The sequence below is a fragment of the Homo sapiens genome, chromosome 1, assembly GCF_000001405.40.
Source record: "Homo sapiens chromosome 1, GRCh38.p14 Primary Assembly".
Lineage (NCBI taxonomy): Eukaryota > Metazoa > Chordata > Mammalia > Primates > Hominidae > Homo > Homo sapiens.
In genome coordinates this window covers 143,735,382-143,757,653 of record NC_000001.11, presented here as the reverse complement: position 1 = coordinate 143,757,653, position 22,272 = coordinate 143,735,382, and the positions used below count along the sequence as shown (strand labels likewise).

Below are 22,272 nucleotides of genomic sequence, written 5' to 3'. Positions count from 1 at the left end.
CCTGTACTTGAGAGTTGATCCCAGAGCTGTGTTCAGCCTAATCACTTTTTTAAAGTGAATGTTTAGGGCCTGCCTGCAGAGAATAACATCTCTCAGTTTAGACAGAGGTGGTGAGCATGTAGAATGTAGGAGCTACTGAGAGATTGATGGAGCTTTATTTTTCTTATCAAAGGAGCACTTACTGGCTATTTCCACAGCCGAGGGGCCTTCCTGTGCATCAAAGAGGAAGGCATTGCTGCTGGGAAGCTGGTGGGAGTCATGGCAGCTGGAATGAGTCAAATACTGTTCATCTAGTGAGTCCTCCAGGACTTCATCCATTTCTTCCTCCTGGACTTCCCTCTTGAGCCAGGTGAAGTAGGCAAGACAAGGGATTAAACCAGGGCAGCCTGGAACCACATAGCTAGTTCTGATCTGAAGCTCATGGAAGAGGCACCAAAACCAAAGGGACCATCACATCAAAGAGGAAGTATACAGTCCACTTTTGACTGGGAGTAAAGTGTGCCTAGAGTTAGTATAGAAGTGAAAAAAGCAAGTGCTCAGTGCATTGACCTCATAACACACAGATAAGGCAGCAGACTCAACAACTACTCTACAATACGCTCACGGCACACAGGACACACAGTGACCCATACTGTCGGCTTCAAAATGCTGTTTAAATTTTATTTAATATGATGTGGAGTGGTCCACTGAATACTGGCTCTTGAGACAACACAACCTCCCAGGGCTTTTGCAGATTTTAGACCCCTAGCTCTAAATACTTGGTATGGTTTCAATTTATTTTTCAAGGTAAATTTCTGGCTATAAAATATCTGCCAACATAATTCAGGACAACTGTGCAGAAACCAGATAGGCATCTCACTTTGGTTTGTAACCCTATAGGTTTTAAAGATACAGAAACCAGGGATCCCTGGTTAGTTTACTTTTCGGTAAGACTGACTGGTTAACTAAGTGTGAGAAATTACTAGGAACTAGGAACCAATACAACAACTGCAAAGAGAACAGAGAACCATTTTTAAAAGGACACATTGTATAATCAGTCAACAAAAAAAGGAACAATCAGCAGTTTCTGCTTTTTCTAGATCTGGGACCTTTAACCTCTTGAGTCCTTGCTTCTGGAATTCTCTCTAGATTTGGTCAGTCCATTATCAGCCCCTTCATCATGTAGAGTTACCTGGGAGCCAGTGGCTTTTGCCTGTCTTCATTTTCTTACCATTGTGATTTTCTGCAAGCCAAAATTAGAAAGAGCTAGTCAGAATTTAAGCAGGTCCCATTTCACACATTGCACACATGGGCCCTATATGATCAGGGACATAACACCTTACATGTATGTTCAGAATGCTCTGTGAGAATTATTGCAGGAGGCCTCAGGTTGTGTCTTTAGAGAAGTGGCCTGGCAGGCTTGCCTGAGCCCACTGGACAGGGTGTTCCTGATATGGTGAATCATCACCAGACGTCAGCTGCCTGAAGCAGAGCAAAAAGTTTAAAATGCCTTTTGTTCCCCAGCTCAAAGAATACTTGCCTGGCTGCCCTTTGGACTTCTCCCGTTGTAACCTTCCTTCCTGCTACAGGCTGGTTGCCAGACCACGACTGTTTGTCCCATTGCTACTCACACACAGAACCTGCTCCAGTCTCTGAGAGGACAAATAGCCCTGTCCTACCTCTACTCCAAAACCAGAGGACTGCCCAGGTGCCTTCAAGTCTGTCCCTGTTCTACTTCCTCAGATGTTGTTGGGGGTAATTCTTTTTTTTTCTTCTCAGTTTGTTAGTGAGCATTGGGGTTGATTCTGTGAAAAATATTCCAGTATAAATCAACTTTTCTAACACCAGCTTCTACTATATACAGTGCCTGAACTAACCCCAAAAGATTTGGACGGTTTATTGGGACCCAAAAATAAAAAAATAAATAACCCTGAAAGAGAAATACACTCATGAACATTAAGATACTACTTCAACTGATCTGTACAGCAGCCATGGAATTATGATTTGACCCACTTTACAAATGGGGAAACAGAAATTCAAGAAGGATCAATCACTTGCACAAAGTTAGTAAATACAGTGCTGAGACTAGAGCCTAGGTAATGCTGATTCTTAGCCCATGGGTCTTCCCATTCTAACAAGCTGCCTTCTGTCATACTGTTCTTTCTGACCACAAAGATGGAATGGAGACTTCTGCTTCTGGCCAATTTGGAGTAATGGAGACCTGATTTGTCCTCCACCTTAAACAACTGAGAAACTGGAAAAAGTATTTTAAACTCTACCTTCAACATTGGATATAGTGCAGTACTATAATAAATAAAAGAGGTGAGCCCTATAATTGCTCCAGTTTGCTGCCTGAGATTGTCAACTGTAGAGCAGGGAGGGAGGACCCAGGCAGAGCCTGGTAGTAAGTTTGAAGAAGTCAGGGTGGCTAGACATCACAGGACAGACTAGAGAATAGGTTGCTGCACAGATAGAATGCCTTGGATATCTGTCTTCAATCTTCAGCTAAGTACTGATTAGTACATGTATTTGAGGAAATTATGCAAAGCAGGGCAAAGAACTTCCCAAAAGGAATAATCTCTGTAGCTCACACATAGCTTGCAACACTTGGTGTTTCCATCAGCTAGAGTGAAAATCCCTTTTAATAGAGGGAGCATTGGTTAGAACAGGAGTCCCCAACCCCCAGCACTGGTCCATGGCCTGTTAGGAATGGGGCTGCACAGGAGAAGGGGAGCAGCCAGCGAGAAAGCATTACCACCTGAGCTCAGCCTTCTGTCAGATCAGCGATGACATTAGATTAGCATTGGAACACAAACCCTATTGTGAACTGTACATGCCAGGGATCTAGGTTGCACGCTCCTTATGAGACTCTTAACTAGTGCCTGATGATCTGAGGTGGAACAGTTTCGTACTGAAACCACCCAATTCCCAATCCCTACCACCCCACCCCCACCTTGTCTGTGGAAAAATTGTCTTTCATGCAACCAGTCCCTGGTGCCAAATCTGTGGGAGATCACTGACTTAGAATCTTCAAAAGATTATTGCTCCCAATGTAAACTATGGACTTTGTGTGATAATGACATGTCATTGTAAGTTCATCAACTGTAACAAATGTGCCATTCTGGAGAGAGATGTTGATAATCTAGGAGGCTATGCATGTGTGGAGGCAGGGGGTATATGGGAACTTTTTGTACTTCCTGCTCATTTGCTGTGAATCTGAAACTACTCTAAAAAATAAGGTCTATTTTCTTAAAAGTCATTTTGCCTCCACAGTGGGAAAAAGATAGCAGTTGACTAATAGCTGCTCTTATCCTGCCTAAAAAAATTTAAAAGCCAGCCTGAAAAGATGAAAATTGTTTTTAAGTAACTTTATTGTATACCAAAACAAAGCTAAAATAATTTTAACACTAAATTCAAAAAAATCCAGAACTCAGTAAGTTACAATTTGCAACGTCTAACCCCAAATCAAATAATGTTAGGAATGCAGACAGACAGAAAACTATAATCCATGATAAGAAGGGGGAAAAAAATCAATCTACTTAAACTGACTTAGAAAGGACACATCAGGTGAGAATTAAAAAACAATAAAAAGGACACAGATGACAGAATCTGTAGACAAGCACATTGAAACAAACATAACTATATTCCTTGTATTAAAGAAGCTAGGCTGGTGTGGTGGCTCATGCTTGTAATCCCAGCACTTTGCGAGGCCAAGGCGGGTGGGTCACCTGAGGTCAGGAGTTTGAGATCAGCCTGGCCAATGTGGTGAAACCCCGTCTCTCTGAAAAATATGAAAATTAGCTGGGTGTGGAGGCATGTGCCTGTAACCCCAGCTACTCAGGAGGCTGAGGCACAGGAGGCATAGGAATCACTTGAACCCAGGAGGTGAAGGTTGCAGTGAGCCAAAATCTCACCACTGCACTTCAGCCTGGGCAACAGAGTGAGACTCTGTCTCAAAAAATAGAATAAAATAAAATAAAGAAGCTAGAGCAAAATACGAAATGATGAAGAGTTACATAGAAGACCTTAAAGAAAGACATAAATTAAATTTAGATGAAAAATAAAGTTTGAATCCAACTTACAAGGGAAGTGAAGGACCTCTTCAAGGAGAACTACAAACCACTGCTCAAGGAAATAAAAGAGGATACAAACAAATAGAAGAACATTCCATGCTCATGGGTAGGAAGAATCAATATCGTGAAAATGGCCATACTGCTCAAGGTAATTTACAGATTCAATGCCATCCCCATCAAGCTACCAATGACTTTCTTCACAGAATTGGAAAAAACTACTTTAAAGTTCATATGGAACCAAAAAAGAGCCCGCATCACCAAGTCAATCCTCAGCCAAAAGAACAAAGATGGAGGCATCACACTACCTGACTTCAAACTATACTACAAGGCTACAGTAACCAAAACAGCCTGGTACTGGTACCAAAACAGAGATATAGATCAATGGAGCAGAACAGAGCCCTCAGAAATAATGCTGCATATCTACAACTATCTGATCTTTGACAAATCTGAGAAAAACAAGCAATGGGAAAAGGATTCCCTATTTAACAAATGGTGCTGGGAAAACTGGCTAGCCATATGTAGAAAGCTGAAACTGGATCCCTTCCTTACACCTTGTACAAAAATCAATTCAAGATGGATTAAAGACTTAAACGTTAGACCTAAAACCATAAAAACCCTAGAAGAAAACCTAGGCATTACCATTCAGGACATAGGCATGGGCAAGGACTTCATGTCTAAATCACCAAAAGCAATGGCAGCAAAAGCCAAAGTTGACAAATGGGATCTAATTAAACTGAAGAGCTTCTGCACAGCAAAGGAAACTACCATCAGAGTGAACAGGCAACCTACAAAATGGGAGAAAATTTTCGCAACCTACTCATCTGACAAAGGGCTAATATCCAGAATCTACAATGAACTCAAACAAATTTACAAGAAAAAAACAAACAACCCCATCAAAAAGTGGGTGAAGGACATGAACAGACACTTCTCAAAAGAAGACATTTATGCAGCCAAAAAACACATGAAAAAATGCTCACCATCACTGGCCATCAGAGAAATGCAAATCAAAACCACAATGAGATACCATCTCACACCAGTTAGAATGGCAATCATTAAAAAGTCAGGAAACAACAGGTGCTGGAGAGGATGTGGAGAAATAGGAACACTTTTACACTGTTGGTGGGACTGTGAACTATTTCAACCATTGTGGAAGTCAGTGTGGCGATTCCTCAGGGATCTAGAACTAGAAATACCATTTGACCCAGCCATCCCATTACTGGGTATATACCCAAAGGACTATAAATCATGCTGCCATAAAGACACATGCACACGTATGTTTATTTCAGCATTATTCACAATAGCAAAGACTTGGAACCAACCCAAATGTCCAACAATGATAGACTGGATTAAGAAAATGTGGCACATATACACCATGGAATACTATGCAGCCATAAAAAATGATGAGTTCATGTCCTTTGTAGGGACATGGATGAAATTGGAAATCATCATTCTCAGTAAACTATCGCAGGAACAAAAAACCAAACACTGCATATTCTCACTCATAGGTGGGAATTGAACAATGAGAACACATGGACACAGGAAGGGGAACATCACACTCTAGGGACTGTTGTGGGGTGGGGGGAGGGGGGAGGGATAACATTGGGAGATATACCTAATGCTAGATGACGTGTTAGTGGGTGCAGCACACCAGCATGGCACATATATACATATGTAACTAACCTGCACATTGTGGACATGTACCCTAAAACTTAAAGTATAATAAAAAAAAAAACAAAAAAAACCAACACACAATGACAAAGTGGAAAATAAAAAAAAAAAGAAAAATAAAGTTTGAGATGAAAATACACTGGATAGGATTAACAGCAGATTAGATGCTGCTAAAGAAAGATTAATCAATTCCGAGACATGGAAATAGAAAGAAACAAAGAGAGAAAAAAAAGATACAACAAAAATGAACAGACCATTAGTCAGCTATGGTAAAATTTCAAAGCAGCTAATACAAATATAACTGGAGTCTTTGAAGGAGAGGATAGAGAGAAAGAATAGAATATACATTATATATATTTGATATATATGTGCCAAATATACTGTATATGCCATAGATAAGACTATATATGTCATTACTATTCAAATTTGATGAGAACTATAAACATGCAGATGCAAGAAACTAAATAAAGTAAAACAATACTTAAAAGATAAAACTATACATGGTCTTACCTTAATCAAACTGCTTCAAACCAGTGATAAACAGAAAATCTCAAAAGCGGCCAGAGAAAAAGACATATTATGTACAGAGGAACAAAAATAAGAATTATGGAAGACTTCTTGTTGGAAACAATGTAAGCCAGAAGACAGTGGAATATCACTTTTCAAACACTTTTTAAAAACACAAACTGTCAACTAGAATCCTACATCCAGTGAAAATATCTTCCAGAAATGAAGGTGAGTTCTTATGCTCATCAAGATGAAGTAATCCACTATACTCTACCTCTCTTACTGATTGAAACTAAGAACTCTCAGGCCAGGCACAGTGGCTCATATCTGTAATCCCAGAACTTTGGGAGGCCACAGCAGATGGGTCACTTGAGCTCAGTAGTTCAAGACCAGCCTGGGCAACATGGAGAAACCCTGTCTCTACAAAAAATATGAAAATTAGCCAGGTGTGGTGGCACACACCTGTAGTCCCAGCTACTTGGGAGGCTGAGGTGGGATGACTGCTTGAGCCCAGGAGGCACAGACTGCAGTCAGCCAAGATCGCGTCACTGCACTCTAGCTCGGGTTAGAGAGCAGACTCTGTCTCAAAATAAAAAACAAAACTCAGGACTCTTGAAAGAATATGAAAAGTGATTACCTGAGTGCTCTAAAGAGAAAACAATAGAATGCAGATTAAGGACCATAGTCAAAACTAAAATAAAATCTACAATGGAGATAACTTTGCATTTTTTCTCCCCACTTTGGGGCACTTGGGAGGAGCTAAGGGTCTTCAGAGCCTGTAGCCAACTTACCTGTGGCAAGTTTTCTGACAAGGATCTCTGTTAGCTGGCTTCCTTGTACCATTTGCTCACAGAATCTCTGTCTCTGGTAGTAGGCAATGCCAGTGTTCCTGAGAAGGCCCTCAAAAGACTTGACTGTGTTCTTCACATGCTGGGTGAAAAGGTAGCAGACACCTCTCCCTTCTTGTATCTTCTGTCGTAAGTGGGTCAGTTCTTCAGCCTGAGCCTGAATTAAGGGATCATGTATCCTAAGGTGGGAAAGAAGAGTAAAATGTAAGAGGGAATGTAGTGAATAATAGGTTATAGAAGTTTCAGAGGAGAGATCTCTTAGAATCCCTGTAAGGAACTCCCAAGTTGAATTCTTTTTTTTCTTTTTTTTTTTTTTTGAGACAGAATCTTACTCTGTCGCCCAGGCTGGAGTGCAGTGACAAGATCTCGGCTCACTGCAGCCTCCGCCTCTGCCTCCGCCTCCCAGGTTCAAGCAATTCTCTTGCCTCAGCCTTCCAAGTAGCTGGGATTACAGGTGCCCACCACCATGCCAGGATAATTTATATATTTTTTGTAGAGATGGGGTTTTGCCATGTTGGCCATGCTAGTCTCGAACCCCTGACCTCAAATGACTCGTGCACCTCGGTGTCCCAAAGTGCTGGGACTACAGGCATGAGCCACTGCATCTGGCCCAAGATTAATTCTTGTACAAGTTGTGTGACTTGCCTGTGGCAGAAGGAATGAAGAACCAGCCTTGGGTTTGTCTGTTATTTTACTACCTTTGCTTTAAAAAGATGCCCCTTTGGTTCCCCACTTTAGCCCAAGTACATTTTCATACAATATACATCAAGCATTATGCAGTAACTGGCAGAAAAAAAAAAAGCCAGATTCAAAAGTGTTGGGCAGGTATCTCTGGTATTAATTGAAAGTTAAAAAGAAAAATCAGTGAAAAGGTCAAGAAGGGCAGTATTCTTTTGAATGACATGAAGGTAGACCATAATCAGTAAGAAGGCAGTTAAAACTAAAGTTCCGGCCATGTGCAGTGGCTCATGCCTGTAATCCCAGCACTTTGGGAGGCCAAGGCAGGCGGATCACCTTAGGTCAGGAGTTTTGAGAGCAGCCTGGCCAACATGGCGAAACCCCATCTCTGCTAAAAATACTAAAATTAGCTGGTGTGGTGGTGTGCACCTGTACTTTCAGCTCCTTGGGAGGCTGACCTAGGAGGATCGCTTGAACCTAGGAGGTGGAGGTTGCAGTGAGCTGAGATCACACCACTGCACTCTAGCCTCGGCAACAGGGTAAGACTCCATCTCAAAAAAAAGAAGTAATGTTCTGAGTAGTAACTTCATTACTCTATGTGGGATTTCATTGCTTTCTAATTATTGTTCAAATATTTCTCATGGTGATATGGTTTGGCTCTGTGTCCCCACCTAAACCTCATGTTGGATTGTAATCTCCAATGTTGGGGGAGGGACCTGCTGGAAAGTGACTGGATCACGGGGGTGGACTTCCCCCTTCCTGTTCTCGTGGTAGTGAGTGAGTTCTCATGAGGTCTGGTTGTTTGAAAGTGTAGCACCTCCCTCTTTGTTCTCTCTCTCTCTCCTGTTCTGGCCATGTGAAGACCATGCCTGCTTCCCCTTCAACTTCTGCAATGATTGTGTTTCCTGAGGCCTGCCCAGAAGCAGAAGCCTGTACAGCCCACAGAACCATGAGCCGATTAAACCTCTTTTCTTTATAAATCACCCAGACTCAGGTACATGTTTATAGCAGTGTCAGAATGGACTAATACACATGGGTTCCAATGTAGAGTGTGAGCTCTGTGAGTCTAAAGACAGTGCCACCTATTACCCAACTCACAGCACCTGGTAGTATGTACACATACAAGTAGTTATTCAGTTAATGTTTAGAACCATGTAATCCCAGAGCTGGACTGAACATTTACAGTCATCTACCCCATCTAATGCTTGAATTTTCTCCCTGCTATTCTTCAAAGTTGTTATCTGCAGGTCCTCTTTCAAACTCTATTCGACAGAGTTACTAGACAGTGTCAGGGGAAGTAAAGACACATACTGGCGAGAAACAGGGGCTCCAGACCTATCCCTCCTTCAATCAAATATCTCTGCTTTGGTGAGTTTTACACATTTGAGCTTCTATGATTTCATTTCAACAAAGGATTAAAAGAAGTTTCAAATGCTACAATCTACCTTATGTCTGAAACCCTCTAAGGATAGTCAATGCTGGTCCTGAGTGAATTAATAATTCATTTTCCACACAACAGCTGCTCAATCATCTATCTACCCAATAGCCCTACCAGTTAATACTTCACCTAGTATAATACTTTTTAAAAAAGTTTGGAGGAGAAACTTTCTTATCATGAAAGGCACTTTGGAAAGTTTGAAAATATCTCTTATAGGAAATGTTAATGACAATCACCACATCTATAAATGGGAACAAATAAAATAATTACAGAAAATAGTTGTTCAGAGTTTTATATGTGTTAGAGATGGTTTTAACTACTTGCAATTGTGCATTTAATCTTCATAACCCTCTAAGGTAGATACTGTCAGTATTTCCGTTTTATAAATGAGGTAGCCTAGGTTAATGACATGCAGAAAAGTGCAGTAAATTTGACCAAGGATACACAAATAGAAGCCACGTTGCTAGTATTCCAATGCAGGCAGCTGTCTCCATTTTACTAATATGTTCTTTAATGGAAAACCCTAGAGACCTAACTAGACTATAGCCTCATTGTGTCTTAGTCTAGTTCTGTACCTGCCTCATACATTTCTGCCCTTCTCCTTGCACAAATTTGCTCTTTGTTCTACCTGCCTGAGCTGCCCCACCTCAAACAGTATTTATACACTTCCCACAGAGGTACCTCCTTACCGGAGCCTTGCTGCTGGCCTTGGCAATTTGGTCAGCTCCCTCTCCTGAAACTGCAGCTCCTCCTCCAGCACAGATTCTATAAGGTCTTTGCACTCTTCACACTCTGAGAGAAGACAGACATGCCTGCATCATGGAAGGCTGGCCATGCTGCTGTGGTCACTGCCTGCAGGGCAGGAGGCAGGGTCTATCTCAAGGATAAAAGTATCCCCGGTACCAGGCTTTACACTGGGATTTCCATATCTTTATTCCTCAGTCTCTCAACTACTCCCTGTTTTAGAGATGAGGAAAGAAAAGCCCACAGGCCGATAAAGTAACTTGACAAGATGATTCAACTGGAATGAAGCAGTCAGAATTCACGTCCCATGGGGTCTGACTCCACATCTTTTACTTTTCTTTTCTTTTCTTTTTTTTGAGATGGAATCTCACTTTGTTCCCCAGGCTGGAATGCAGTGGCACGATCTCAGCTCACTGCAACCTCTGACTCCCGGGTTATTCTCCTGCCTCAGCCTTCCAAGTAGCTGAGATTACAAGTGTGCCCCACCACACCCTGCTAGTTTTTGTATTTTCAGTAGAGACAGGGCTTCACCATGTTGGCCAGGCTGCTCTCGAACTCCTGATCTCAAATGATCCGCCCACCTTGGCTTCCCAAAGTGCTGGGATTACAGTAAGTGAGCCACTGCACCCGGCCATGACTTCAAATCTTAAGGCCAATTCACCAAGCCTTACAGCCTCTTAAGTAAAACATGAACATAAGGGCATGAAATAATGACTTCCTGTGTATTTAGGAAGATACTAAGAACTGTAGAACTGATGGTTCTCCTGTTTCAAGAGTTTCAATAATTCGAAAATATTTCAAAGATTTAAACATTTATCTGTATACAACTGTGTAAAACTGTATATGGAGGAGAAAGATCCAAATGATATATGCCCAAATGCTAATAGTGTTTTAAAGGGAGAACCAACACATAGTGTTTGTCATGGTACTGTTGCAGTAGGTTTTTAAGAATTATGATCATATGATCATTACCACTATCCAAAGAGGTAGTTCCTACTCTGTTACCATTACAGATGAGAAAACTGAGGCACAGAGACAATAAGTTAGATTTGAACCCAGGAGATTTGGCCCTAGGGTATATGCTCTTTAATCACTGCACAATAATACCTTTATACTAAGGTCTTAGGTAATATCTTTCTTCTTCTCTAGCTTGAGAAATATTTTTCCTACAATTATAATGAATGAAGTTTTTTTTTTTTTTAACTAGTTTTTCAACAAACCAAAGCTCATCTTTTCACTTCTTTAATAAGTGGGCTTTTGGCTTTACTTTTCTATGACAGTAAGTTAGACAGCAAATTTAACCACCCCCCACACGATGATTTATTTAAAAACAATTGTAGAAATTGGAAAGCAAACTCAATTTCAATGTTAACCAGAATCCTCTTCTAATATCCCTGTTCCTCTCATGCCCTTGTTCCCATGTTTCCTTGTCATTATAGCTTCCCCCTTCTCCGACTATTAGTAACAGGTTTGGGATTTTACATTGGATTTAAAAATGTGAGAGCTAACTGTGGAGAGGAAAGGGCCAGCCCCTAACCTGGCCTGGCCTTCTACTGAGAATGGCGGTCTCTTCCACTTGGCCTTGTTCTCATTTTGGCCATATGTCTCATAGCTCTTATCCTGGACATCCACCTGCAGTTGCTTGCTGTCTGTAAAGTTGATACTCAGAGAGAGACAGAAAGGGTGTAACAAAGTCACTGATTTTTATGGAAATACCCTCAATCTAACCAGAACATGAGGAATGGCTTATGTGAACTTATGTGGGAAGAGAATCTTGATCCAGGTATCATAAAGATTTTTCTCCGTGTCTGCTATTGAAGTTTGCATCTCCACATATCTGTGACTCAGTTGAGAATAGGTAGTTTTAAGTTCCTTCAAGGCAGATAGGGTATACTATTACTTCTTTCATCCCTGGTGCTGTTGGCACAGTGCTTTGCAAATGGGCGCTCTTAAAAAAGTTTAAATCGAATCCTGAGATGTTTTAACCAACAGTGATGTTACATGTTTGTAGAATCTGATATTCATTGCTGAGAGGGGAAAGACAGTTTCATGCCTAAACCAAGGTTTTAGTCTCTATTCCTCACTACACTCGCCCTGCAAACTTTACACCTTTGTGCCTCAGTTTTTCTGTCCTTGGCAAATTGAGAGTAAAAGGCCCACTTCTACCTTTCTGGGAGTGTAGTTAGGATAAAATTAATTTTGATAAAGAATAAAGTCTGCAGTGTTTCATTTCACAGAGGAAAGACAGACAATCATTTATCACTTTGGTGACCATGCCCCTATGGGACCTACTATATTTCTGCAGGTGATTGGCCAGGGAGTAGGCAGTAGCTTTGGATGTCAGGAATTTCTCTGTGAGGTCTCGGAAGTTCTCTTTGCACTTTTCCAGTTCAGAGAGCAAGTACTGATTGGTTTCCAGGATGCTCATTTCTGCCCTTGGACCAAAACAAGTGGTGAGAGATACTGCCATGCTGAAGCTTGTGGAGAAAGTACAATCAGAGCCTAGGGAGAATAAACCCAGACAATTAATAAATTAAAAACAAATGCATGGATTGTGGTAATGGTTGCACTACTTGGGTAAATTACTAAAAATTATTGAACTGTACAATTATAATGGGTAAATTTTATAGTATGTAAATTATACCTCAATAAAGTTTCTTTACATTAAATGAAGGGTTTAAACAAGTCAAAAGAAAGCAGATCTGATTCATAAATTACCTTTGGGATAAACTTTGTCAGCATCCTACAACTCTGAGAATCCTTAGCCACAAAAACAAGGCACAAGGTGCCTAAGCTTAGAGTCTAAGGTACTGTCTGTGACTCAGGCTCTGATAGGAATGCCAGAAATCAGACCCGGTGCCAGGTAATGGTCTGGAGTCACAATAACAGAATTAGAAGGTGGGGGTGTCATGGAATGTTAGGATCTCTGCCTTCCAGGTGTCTAGGCCATGTGGAAACACAGGTCTCTTCTGAAGGTCACCACCAATGGAGAGCACTGCCTCAGCAGTCATTCTGAGTATTTGTATACCCTTGTGACAATACCACAGGCCTATCTCTTTCTAAAATTTAACCATATTTTCATTGTTTATTATTGCAAATGCATAGAAACATCAAGGAATACATATTTCCCCAAGTTCTATCATTGTCTTAAGAACTGTCATGAAGTCATTTTCTTTCTAATGAAAAATTTAACACTTTTAGATAGTCTTGGTGTTCTTCTTTGGTTCTCCAGTTTTCCACATCATTTATATTATAAGAAAAAAAATCCTGAATATTCTGCTCAGTGCGTGAATAATTGATTTATATGGATTTAGAGGCTAGGTGCAGTGGTTGACACCTGTAATCCCACCACTTTGGGAGACCAAGGTGGTTGGAGCACTTGAGCTCAGGAGTTTGAGACCAACCTGGGGAGCACGGCGAAACCCTGCTTCTACAAAAAATTTTTAAAAATTAGCCAGGCATAGGGCCAGGCACGGTGGCTCATGCCTGTAATCCCAACACTTTGGGAGGCCGAGGCAGGTGGATCATGAGGTCAGGAGATCGAGACCATCCTGGCTAACACGGTGAAACGTCGTCTCTACTGAAAATACAAAAAATTAGCCAGGCGTGGTGGCGGGTGCCTGTAGTCCCAGCTACTTGGGAGGCTGAGGCAGGAGAATGGCATGAACCTGGGAGGCAGAGCTTGCAGTGAGCCGTGATTGCGCCACTGCATTCCAGCCTGGGTGACAGAGCAAGACTCCTTCTCAAAAAGAAAAAAAAAGAGAGAGAAAAAAAACAGAAAATAAAGGTTTTGACTACCTGAGTGGCTTTATTTGTATAACAAGGCCACCTTTGCTAGCCAAACCAAACTAAAAAAGTGATGGTAGTCACCTCATACCCCAGGCTGCAGTTCGGTAGCTAAGGTTCTGCTCCTTTTTTCACCATGACAACCTGGGTTCGGTTCCTAAATCAATTTCTTTCCAGTTTGATATTTGTGTTACTTTTGAACATTTTTTTTCCAGGGAGCTTTCTTAGCAGGATCTTTGTTGGCTTTCACCCCAGCTGTTAGAGAACAGCTTGACTGAATTCAAAATCCAGAAGGTCAGAGGGTATCCTGGGAAGATGGTGGAATGAGAAGCACCTGGAATCTACACAACAACTGCATGGGCAGGATCTGTCAGATGTAAATATTTCAGAACTCTGGAGCCTACTGAAGGCTTGCAACTTCCAGAGGAAGGCCCAGATGGTAAATTGTAGGTAATTTCAGTCAATTTCGGCCCTTAGCACAATAGCAGCTACCCAACACTACCCCCAAGGCAGTCAGCTTGTGTTCCTACAGTAAGCTGCACACATCTTTCAGGATCCAGAATGGGCAAAAAGAATGCTGTCTCCAAACACTGGGGGTCTGGGCCAGGTGCAGTAGCTCATGCCTGTAATCCTAGCACTTTGGGAGACCGAGGTGGGTGGATTACTTGAGGTCAGGAGTTCAAGACCAGCCAGGCCCACATGGTAAAACTCTGTCTCTACTAAAATTAGTCAGGTGTGGTGGCAGGCACCTATAATCCCAGCCACTCAGGAGGCTGGGGCACAAGAATCACTTGACCCAGGAGGCGGAGGCTGCAGTGAGCTGAGATCATGCCACTGCACTCTAGCCTGGGTGACAGAGAAAGACTCCATCTCAAAACACACACACACACACACACACACACACACACACACACACACACACACACACACATTGGGGCTCTGTTCTCTAATGTCTGATTGCAGCACAGAGACAAAGAGGCTGGCAGCTACTGCTGTACCTTCCCCCATTGTAGCAAGCTCCTCACCCTAAGCTGAAGCAACTTCCAGAAAGTTTAAAGGGATGGTGCCCTTTTTTCACCCTCCCTCAATTTTTCTCTTTTTCCCCTTTTGGGAGCCAGACATTAAAGGATAAAATATTCAAGAATAACTGCATATATAGGTAAAATTAGGGAGTGACCACACACCCAGGGAAAGGTTCAGGCTCAGAAAACATCTGTGAAGACCATAAGTTTATACCTCAGGCTGATCCTTGGCATAGAGACAACCTACAATAATCAAAAAACAAAACAATAACAGAAAAACAGCAAACCCTGAGGAAGGAGGAGAATCTAATTTCTGGAATTAACCACACTAGTAGATTCAAATGTCCAGTTTTCAACAACAACAATAAAAATAAATAAAAAAAAATGAACCAACAGAAACTCTCACTGAAAAATGCCTGATAGTCAAGTTAAGATTTGGTCATGGGGGAAGAAAATGAAAAGAAAAATAATAAATAATTAAAGAGAGAGAGAAAAAAACAACCTCCTGGATGTGCTACTTGACAGACTTTGAAACAGGTGTCTTAAAGGTACCCAAAAACTAAAGGAAGATGTAGCACAAGACAAGAAAATAATGCATGAACAAAATGAAAATATAAATAAAGGATAGAAAATCAAAAAAGAAACAAAAAAGTGCTGGATCTGAAAAGTAAAATAGGTGAAATAAAAAATTAACTAGAGGGATTCAAAGTCAAATTTGAAGAAAGCTGAGCAGGCAGAAGAAACAATCAGTGAACCTGAAGATAAGGCAATGGAAATCATCCAGTTTGAGGAACAGAAATAAAAAAAAATTGAAGAAAAGTGAACAGAGCCTAAGTGACCATCAAGTGGACCAACATATTCATTGTGGAATTCCTTTTTTGTTGTTGTTGTTTTGGGGGTGGGGGGTGGGGGGATGGAGTTTCGCTCTTGCTGCCCAGACTGGAATGCAATGGCGTGATCTCGGCTCACCGCAAACTCTGCTTCTTGGGTTCAAGCGATTCTCCCACCTCAGCCTCCCGAGTAGCTGGGATTGCAGGCATGCACCACCATGCCTGGGTAATTTTGTATTTTTAGCAGAGACGGGGTTTCTCCATGTTGGTCAGGCTGGTCTCAAACTCCTGACCTCAGGTGATCCTCCCACCTCGACCTCCCAAAATGCTGAGATTCCAGGCATGAGCCACTATACCCAGCCTTGCATTGTGGAATTTATAAAGAAGAAGGAGAGAGGGGCAAGAGAGAATATTTGAAGAAATAATGGCTGAAAACTTCCCAAATTTGATGAAAGACCTGAATACAAACACAGTAGCCAGGCAAACTCCAAGTAAGATAAACTTAAAGAGACCGACACCAAAACACATTATAATCAAACTTTCAAAAGTCAAAAACAGAGAATCTTTAAATCGGTAAGAGAAAAGCAACTGATCACACGTAAGAAATCTTTAATAAGATTATCAACAGATTTCTCTTCATAAACTTTGGAAGTTGGGAGGACAGGAAATCAAAAGCTGCCAATGGCCAGGAGTGGTGGCTCACATCTATAATCCCAAGACTTTGGGAGGCCAAGGCGGGCAGATCACTTGAGGTCAGGAGCTCAAGACCAGCCTGGCCAAAATGGCAAAACCCTGTCTCTACTAATAATACAATACAAAACTTAGCCAGGCATGGTGGTGGGTGGCTGTAATCCCAGCTACTTGAGAGACTGAGGTGGGAGAATCACTTGAACCTGGGAGGCGGAGTTTGCAGTGAGCCGAGATTGCACCACTGCACTCCAGCCTGGGTAATAGAGTGAGAATCTGTCTTAATAAACAAACAAACAAAAAGAACAAAAAAAGCTGCCCATGAACGGGAAAAGGATCAATAAATGGGTATTCCAAAAAGTCAAAAGTCACACAAATATCAAGCCAAAATAAACTGGTTCCCTGACTGGAAATTGAACCCAGGCTATGGCAGCAAAAGCACAGAACTTTAAGTACTAAACTGCAAGGTAGAGCAGACTTTATTGTGAATCCTGGAAGGGATCCAGAGCAGGCAGTTTGAGCTTATGAAGAATTTTAACTTTGTTTTGGATCAAATTTTGCTCTTTAATTTAGTCAAGAGAATTTTTTCCCTACACAAGACAGATAATATTGTCAAGAGAATTTTTAAGGGTAGCTATCACACTAGTATGTGCCTTTCTTTTAATTTGATCTTCCTATCAACTGTTTCAAATAAGAGATCTCTAATTTTTTTTTTTTAATTCAGGTGTCTAATTTAAGGGATCCATCTTCAGGCCATTGGCAACTAGAATATCCAATGGTATAATTATTCCAATAGCAATTCAACCAAATAGCCTCTTTGTGGAAAGCCCAGGATGTCATTTTCCAGGTTAACTTCCTGGGAAGGGCATAGAAGAGGCAATCCCAAAGACTCCCCTCCAAGAAAAAAGTTCAATGTAAGGAGTAGGCCACAGATAGTTAAGGATGATGATTGCCTCCAGTAACCCACAAATTTGTGGAGGCTTCCAGTCACAGACCTGTGAATCTGTGATACCAGGTAGGCCCTCTTGGGACTGAGCTTTTCTAGGACTAATCAGGCAACAAGAGTTGAGACGGCAAAAGCCTCGAAGGGATGGGACTTCTTAAGACAAACCCCAAGAGCTTGACATAGTTAGAACAAAAAGTGTACTCGGGTTTCCAGCCATTTTCAGACAGGCCACCTAATATGACCTGAAAATTACCACCTCTTACCCGATAGCGGAAACCAAGAGAAAGTGCTCCCACTTTGTCACAAGTCAAGCTCTCAAGGACATAAAATAAGATAAGAAGGAACCTCAACCAGTACCCCCTTTTATGACAGAATAACACGTAGAGACAAAGACAAAGGAACAGACATTTTCTGGGAAGAAAGGGATTAAACAATATGAATTGGTACCACAAAGTACCAAAAAAGCACACCAGAGTCACTACACCCAAGACTAGTCAATCCTTTTCTCCCATTAATCAAGATTTTGGAGAGGGAAAAGAAGCAGTGATTTTTACTGTGCACTTGATCAGATTCCACACAGAGAAGGAGGCTGGGAGCCTGGCTGGTAAAAAATTCTTACCCTTATGACAGCTGATCAGATCCTGGGTTCTTCACTGCAGCTTCCAGAAGAGCAGAGCTTTACTATCCTGCTTACAGCTCCAAAACTGTAGGGGCCAATGGAAACCCTCCCTCTTAACCCTCTGAAGTTTCACTCAAAAATCAACTCGCAAAAGGCAGATTAATTGGAGAAAAGGCATAAAATGTACTAACATGTACTTGGGGAGGGCCACAGAGTGATTACCCTACCCTACCCACAATGGGATGCAGAAGCTTATACACCATCTCGAGGTAACAGAATGAATGAGGGCTCAAAGCATGGCCAAAACCAGGTACCATCAGAGTCAGATGTATATCCATTTATTGTGGGCAAGACAGGTTATAGGAGGGAGAGAAGAGGAGGCTTAGCTAGCAAAGGTGGTCTTAATATGTAAATGAAACCTTACAGGTAGCAGCTCTCAGAGACAGTAAACCCTAAAAGTTTCTTTGAGACCTTTACAGCTGTCAGACTCTCAGTTAATCTTTCCTAGATCTGGGCAAAGAAAGACTTGGCTGCATCAATGCAGATTCCCTACAGATGCAAATCTCCCCAACAAAATACAACTTTGCAGGGCTACTTCTGCAGCTGGCTTTCTGAACAGACATCTCAAAATGTGTCAAAGAAATGTATTTTGGGGTGAAATATTTTTAATTCCTTCACATCTACAGCCTGATGCACCTGCCGTTTCAACGCAACATTGTTGGTGGCAATTCCATTCTTCCCTACACTCAAGCCAAAAAAACAGATTCTCCTTGAGGCTAGTCTTTTTCTCAGAGCACACATACAATTTGTCAGAAAAATTACGTTTCCTGTTTGGGTTAATTACAGACTTTGATCTGCCCAATCTTTCTCTTTCTTGGTCTCTGAATTTTGGCAAAGGAGTCTCCGGTCTCCGGATACAGGCGGGATCGATTCTACAGACGAGTCTCAAAACCGTCAGACATTTAAGAGCCTTAATCTCGAGGTCAGGGTTTGGGCCGCCCTTGACACTTTTCTTTGGGCCTACGCGACAAAATCAGCCTGGCCAGGCCTGTTTTCAAGGCCCAGAGGCAGGGCCAGGTCCTCCCGATGCTTCTTGAAGCTTCTTCCGCGGGTCGACCCCTACCCTCCCCTTCCCTGTGACCTGCAGAGAAGCTTCAGGGATCATTTATTCAATTTGCTAGGAGCCCGCGAGGCGCAGGTGCGCGGTGACTCTGTGGTTCCCACCGCACCCGCCGCCCTCCTTGGTCCTCTCGCTGTCTCCGGAGGGCAGTAACCTTACAGGTGAGCTTGGGCTCCGAAGACACTCAGCCAGGGAGGGACCGTTAGGGAAGGGCATCGGCCCCTTAGGTCCTTCGCAGTAGGGATCCGAAAAAGGTCTTGAAGAAATAGAACGGGAGAGTTAGAAGTAGATCAAAGGGAAAGAAAGAAATTCTAGATTTCCTATCTGAAGGCACCAGGAAGAGAAAGTCCGCCTCCTCTGGGCCGGGTCCTCACGTCGCTGGTGAACCGAGTTCCGACCTCCACTGGAGACCAAATCAGTTGACTTTGGCTGGACTCCTAGTGAAGAAGCCACGCTTTGTCTTCCCTTGTTTAGCTCTTGATCCTGAACCACTTGACTGTCTCTCCCGGGCTTTCCACGGATTCCAGGGATGCAACTGAGAAGTTTGTTTTTAATGCACTTACTTGAAGTAAGAATATTTGAAAGTATTTTTGCAAAGACAAAGGTTTCCTTTTGTACTGAAGACATTCAGATGTGAGGAAAATCACTCAGCTAGGGAAAGCAAATGCTGTTGAGAATGTCTCACAAACACAAATTACACGTCAGCAGGTAGGTTTGACCCTCAGGTTGGGCACATTTTAAGTGCACTGTTGGTGGAATTTAAGATGAATCTAGGATGTTCATGATTAATATTTTTAGTTTTTTAGTAAAATTTAATATTTTAAATTTAAGTACACATTCTGAAAATTATATAACCACCGCAAGAAACCGGCTTTATGCCATTCTTACAAACACAGGAAAGAAAGATGATATTATAATGGCAATGCTTCATAAATGGTAACATTTTTAAAGTACCCAGAGAAAAAAAGTTAACCTGGAATTCTATGCAAAAATAAAATTTCAAAACTGTGAGTGAAATAAGGACATCGAAAAACATACAAAAGCTAAAACAATTCACCAACCCACGTTACAAGAAATCTTATTAAAAGTCCTCCAGGCAGAGGCAAAAGGATACCAGATAAAAATGTGGGCCTATACAAAGAAACGAATACTGGAAATGGCATTTAGAAAGCATGTACTACACATTTTCTTAGAATTTAAATCTTTTAAAAAATATTTGGTGTAATAAATAAAAGTAATAATAATGAATCACAAGGATTATAATGTATAAAGTAAAATTACATAACACTAGGATAAAGGCCAGAAAGGGAGACATAATGACACCTGAAAGCAGACTGTGATAAATTAAAGACATATCCCAGAAACCCTAAAGCAGCCACTGAAATAAGAAAAGGGTTATAGCTAATAAAGCAACAAAGGAAAGAAAACGGAATGAAATAAAATCTATGTAAGCACTATGCTGGAACAACTGCTCTCCAGGCCTCCACCCTATGGAAATATACCAGTGGCCAATGACAAGTGTAGAAGAATGATGACTGCAGCATTGTTTGTAATCATAAAATAATAGAACCAACGTACTTTTAAAGATATATGAAAAGAGTTTTATTTATTTAACAAACAGACAATTGAACAAACAAACAATGGAAGCAAGTCCTTTGCCAAAAGGAGCACAGAGGGTCAGGATGATGCTACTCCTCCAAGGATTTCAGGGTTTCCAGACGCTTAGTTTCTGTCTAGTTCTGGAAGATGTTATTCTTGGGGAGCAATAGGTCCTCGAGTTTGGGGCTCTTTCAGGTTCTCTCTCCATTTCCCCATTCTGCTACAATAGATAAACAAAAACAATTCTCACTTCCAGAAGATCCCGCCTGTGCGTCTGCACGAGCCTTTCAGGAGGTCTGGATGTCTGGTTCATGTCTCCCTGGCTTCTTTCCCAGCTTTTGCTTTTCCCTTCCCCCGCTCCCACCCTACGGCCCCAGGAACCGACCCCCGCCCAGCTGAGCCCCCGCAGCTCCACCCGGCAGAAAGCCCACCAGAGGCCCTGCCAGTTGCACGCCCCGCGGGGTGCCGAGAAATCAATGCTTTGTAAAAAGAACTTCCCCATGGAAAAAATCTCTTGATTTCCACTCTCAGTGCTCTTTAAAGGATTAAAAGCTAAAGGAGACGATGGATTCATTCGACAAGTCCTAGTCGTGCGCCTTAGTGAGTGCCAGACCCTGCTCCCCGCGAGGGGACCCAGGAGCGACCCTCACCACCATCCCTGCCCTGGTGGAGCCCCGGTGGGGAACACAGGATCCGAAGATGGCAGCGGAAGCTCCGCAGCAGCCCAAAAGCGACTGAGCAGGGTGGATACAGGCTCCTTCACTGGGTGAAGGCGGCACAAAGAACGGGAAGAACCATCCCGGGAGCCCACCAGGCGTTCAGCTTCCCCTTGGGACCTCAGGCGGCTCGGGCTGGGTCGCCGACCGCGGAGTTTCTGGGGGCTTCTGAAGCAAGAGAGGGGCAGGGCGGGCGAAGGCCATTCGGCTCTCCGTCTGGCTCCAGAATCTCCTAACGCGCAGGTATCCAATGTGACCAGCGCAACTCACCGCTCTAATCTCTCTGGTTTTCCAAAGCCTTGCTCAGTCGTCCTGCCAGGCGGGCGCTGAGAATAGAAGGGACGGAGGAAGTTTAGTGAGTGTGCCCTTCCTATATTGCCTATTAGAACTGGTAGTGCTTGTCTCTGTGGCGCAATGGGTTAGCGCGTTCGGCTGTTAACCGAAAGGTTGGTGGTTCGAGCCCATCCAGGGACGCTGATTGCAACTTTTAAAGCATTCACGCATTGTCAATCACTAGACAAATGGGGAAGATTTTATCTTCCCGGAGTACCAAGCCACTAATTTATGACTGATCCATGTTAAGGGCCAGCCCCAAACCCCTAATTTATGACTGATCCATGTCAAGGGCCAGCCCCCCTCCCCCATCCGATTCTTAACCGGGTATCTCCTGAAATGGCGGGTTTACACCTGTGTAACTCAGGATCCTGAAACAGATACCTAGGAACCCACTTTTGGTGTGATAAATTCTAATTCAGTCCCTTATGCGCTTAAACGAGTAATGTACGTGCCTCCATTTTTTCATATTTTAGTAATAGGAGTTCAGTACTATCTCCAGGATGTGCCTGGATTTACTGATTGTTCTATTAATAATGTGACCAGTGGAATCATTCATCATCATAGTGATCTTCTCCACCATTTTTGAAAACAGTATTTTTCCTCAGTTTGTGCATGATTTATTTAACCCTTTTCAAAATGTTTTAGCCAGGCGTGGTGGCATGCACCTGTAATCCCA

At 42.3% G+C, this 22,272-nt stretch overlaps 1 long non-coding RNA gene, 1 other non-coding gene and 1 pseudogene across 7 annotated transcripts, besides 1 other annotated feature; 1 reads left to right on the top strand and 2 right to left on the bottom strand.

Annotated features, from left to right (window-relative positions):
* Positions 1-988: 988 nt before the first annotated feature.
* On the bottom strand, positions 989-12,819 carry LOC105369140 (NBPF member 6 pseudogene; annotated as a pseudogene). Of its 4 annotated transcripts, none has more exons than NR_160531.1 (6): positions 12,654-12,819; positions 12,228-12,437; positions 9,881-9,983; positions 7,019-7,254; positions 1,323-1,784; positions 989-1,222 (listed from the first exon to the last, which is right to left on the bottom strand). The product of NR_160531.1 is annotated as an NBPF member 6 pseudogene, transcript variant 4 (transcript). The 4 variants fall into 4 exon arrangements; NR_160529.1 differs by having other exon boundaries at positions 1,323-1,461; NR_160528.1 differs by lacking the exon at positions 1,323-1,784.
* Positions 18,454-18,953: an enhancer, noted in NCBI's record as "H3K4me1 hESC enhancer chr1:149233351-149233850 (GRCh37/hg19 assembly coordinates)". NCBI's record gives its function as "activates a minimal SCP1, AML or CMV promoter by ChIP-STARR-seq in primed H9 embryonic stem cells {active_cell/tissue: H9 hESC(primed)}" and the evidence as "EXISTENCE:reporter gene assay evidence [ECO:0000049][PMID:30033119]".
* LOC107985108 (uncharacterized) lies at positions 20,524-21,607 on the bottom strand. Of its 2 annotated transcripts, none has more exons than NR_197590.1 (2): positions 21,531-21,607; positions 20,524-20,764 (listed from the first exon to the last, which is right to left on the bottom strand). It is a non-coding gene; the product is annotated as an uncharacterized LOC107985108 (long non-coding RNA). The 2 variants fall into 2 exon arrangements; NR_197591.1 differs by having other exon boundaries at positions 20,524-20,761.
* Positions 21,608-21,660: 53 nt separating this feature from the next.
* Positions 21,661-21,734, top strand: TRN-GTT6-1 (tRNA-Asn (anticodon GTT) 6-1). The gene has a single exon. It is a non-coding gene; the product is annotated as a tRNA-Asn (tRNA).
* Positions 21,735-22,272: the final 538 nt, after the last annotated feature.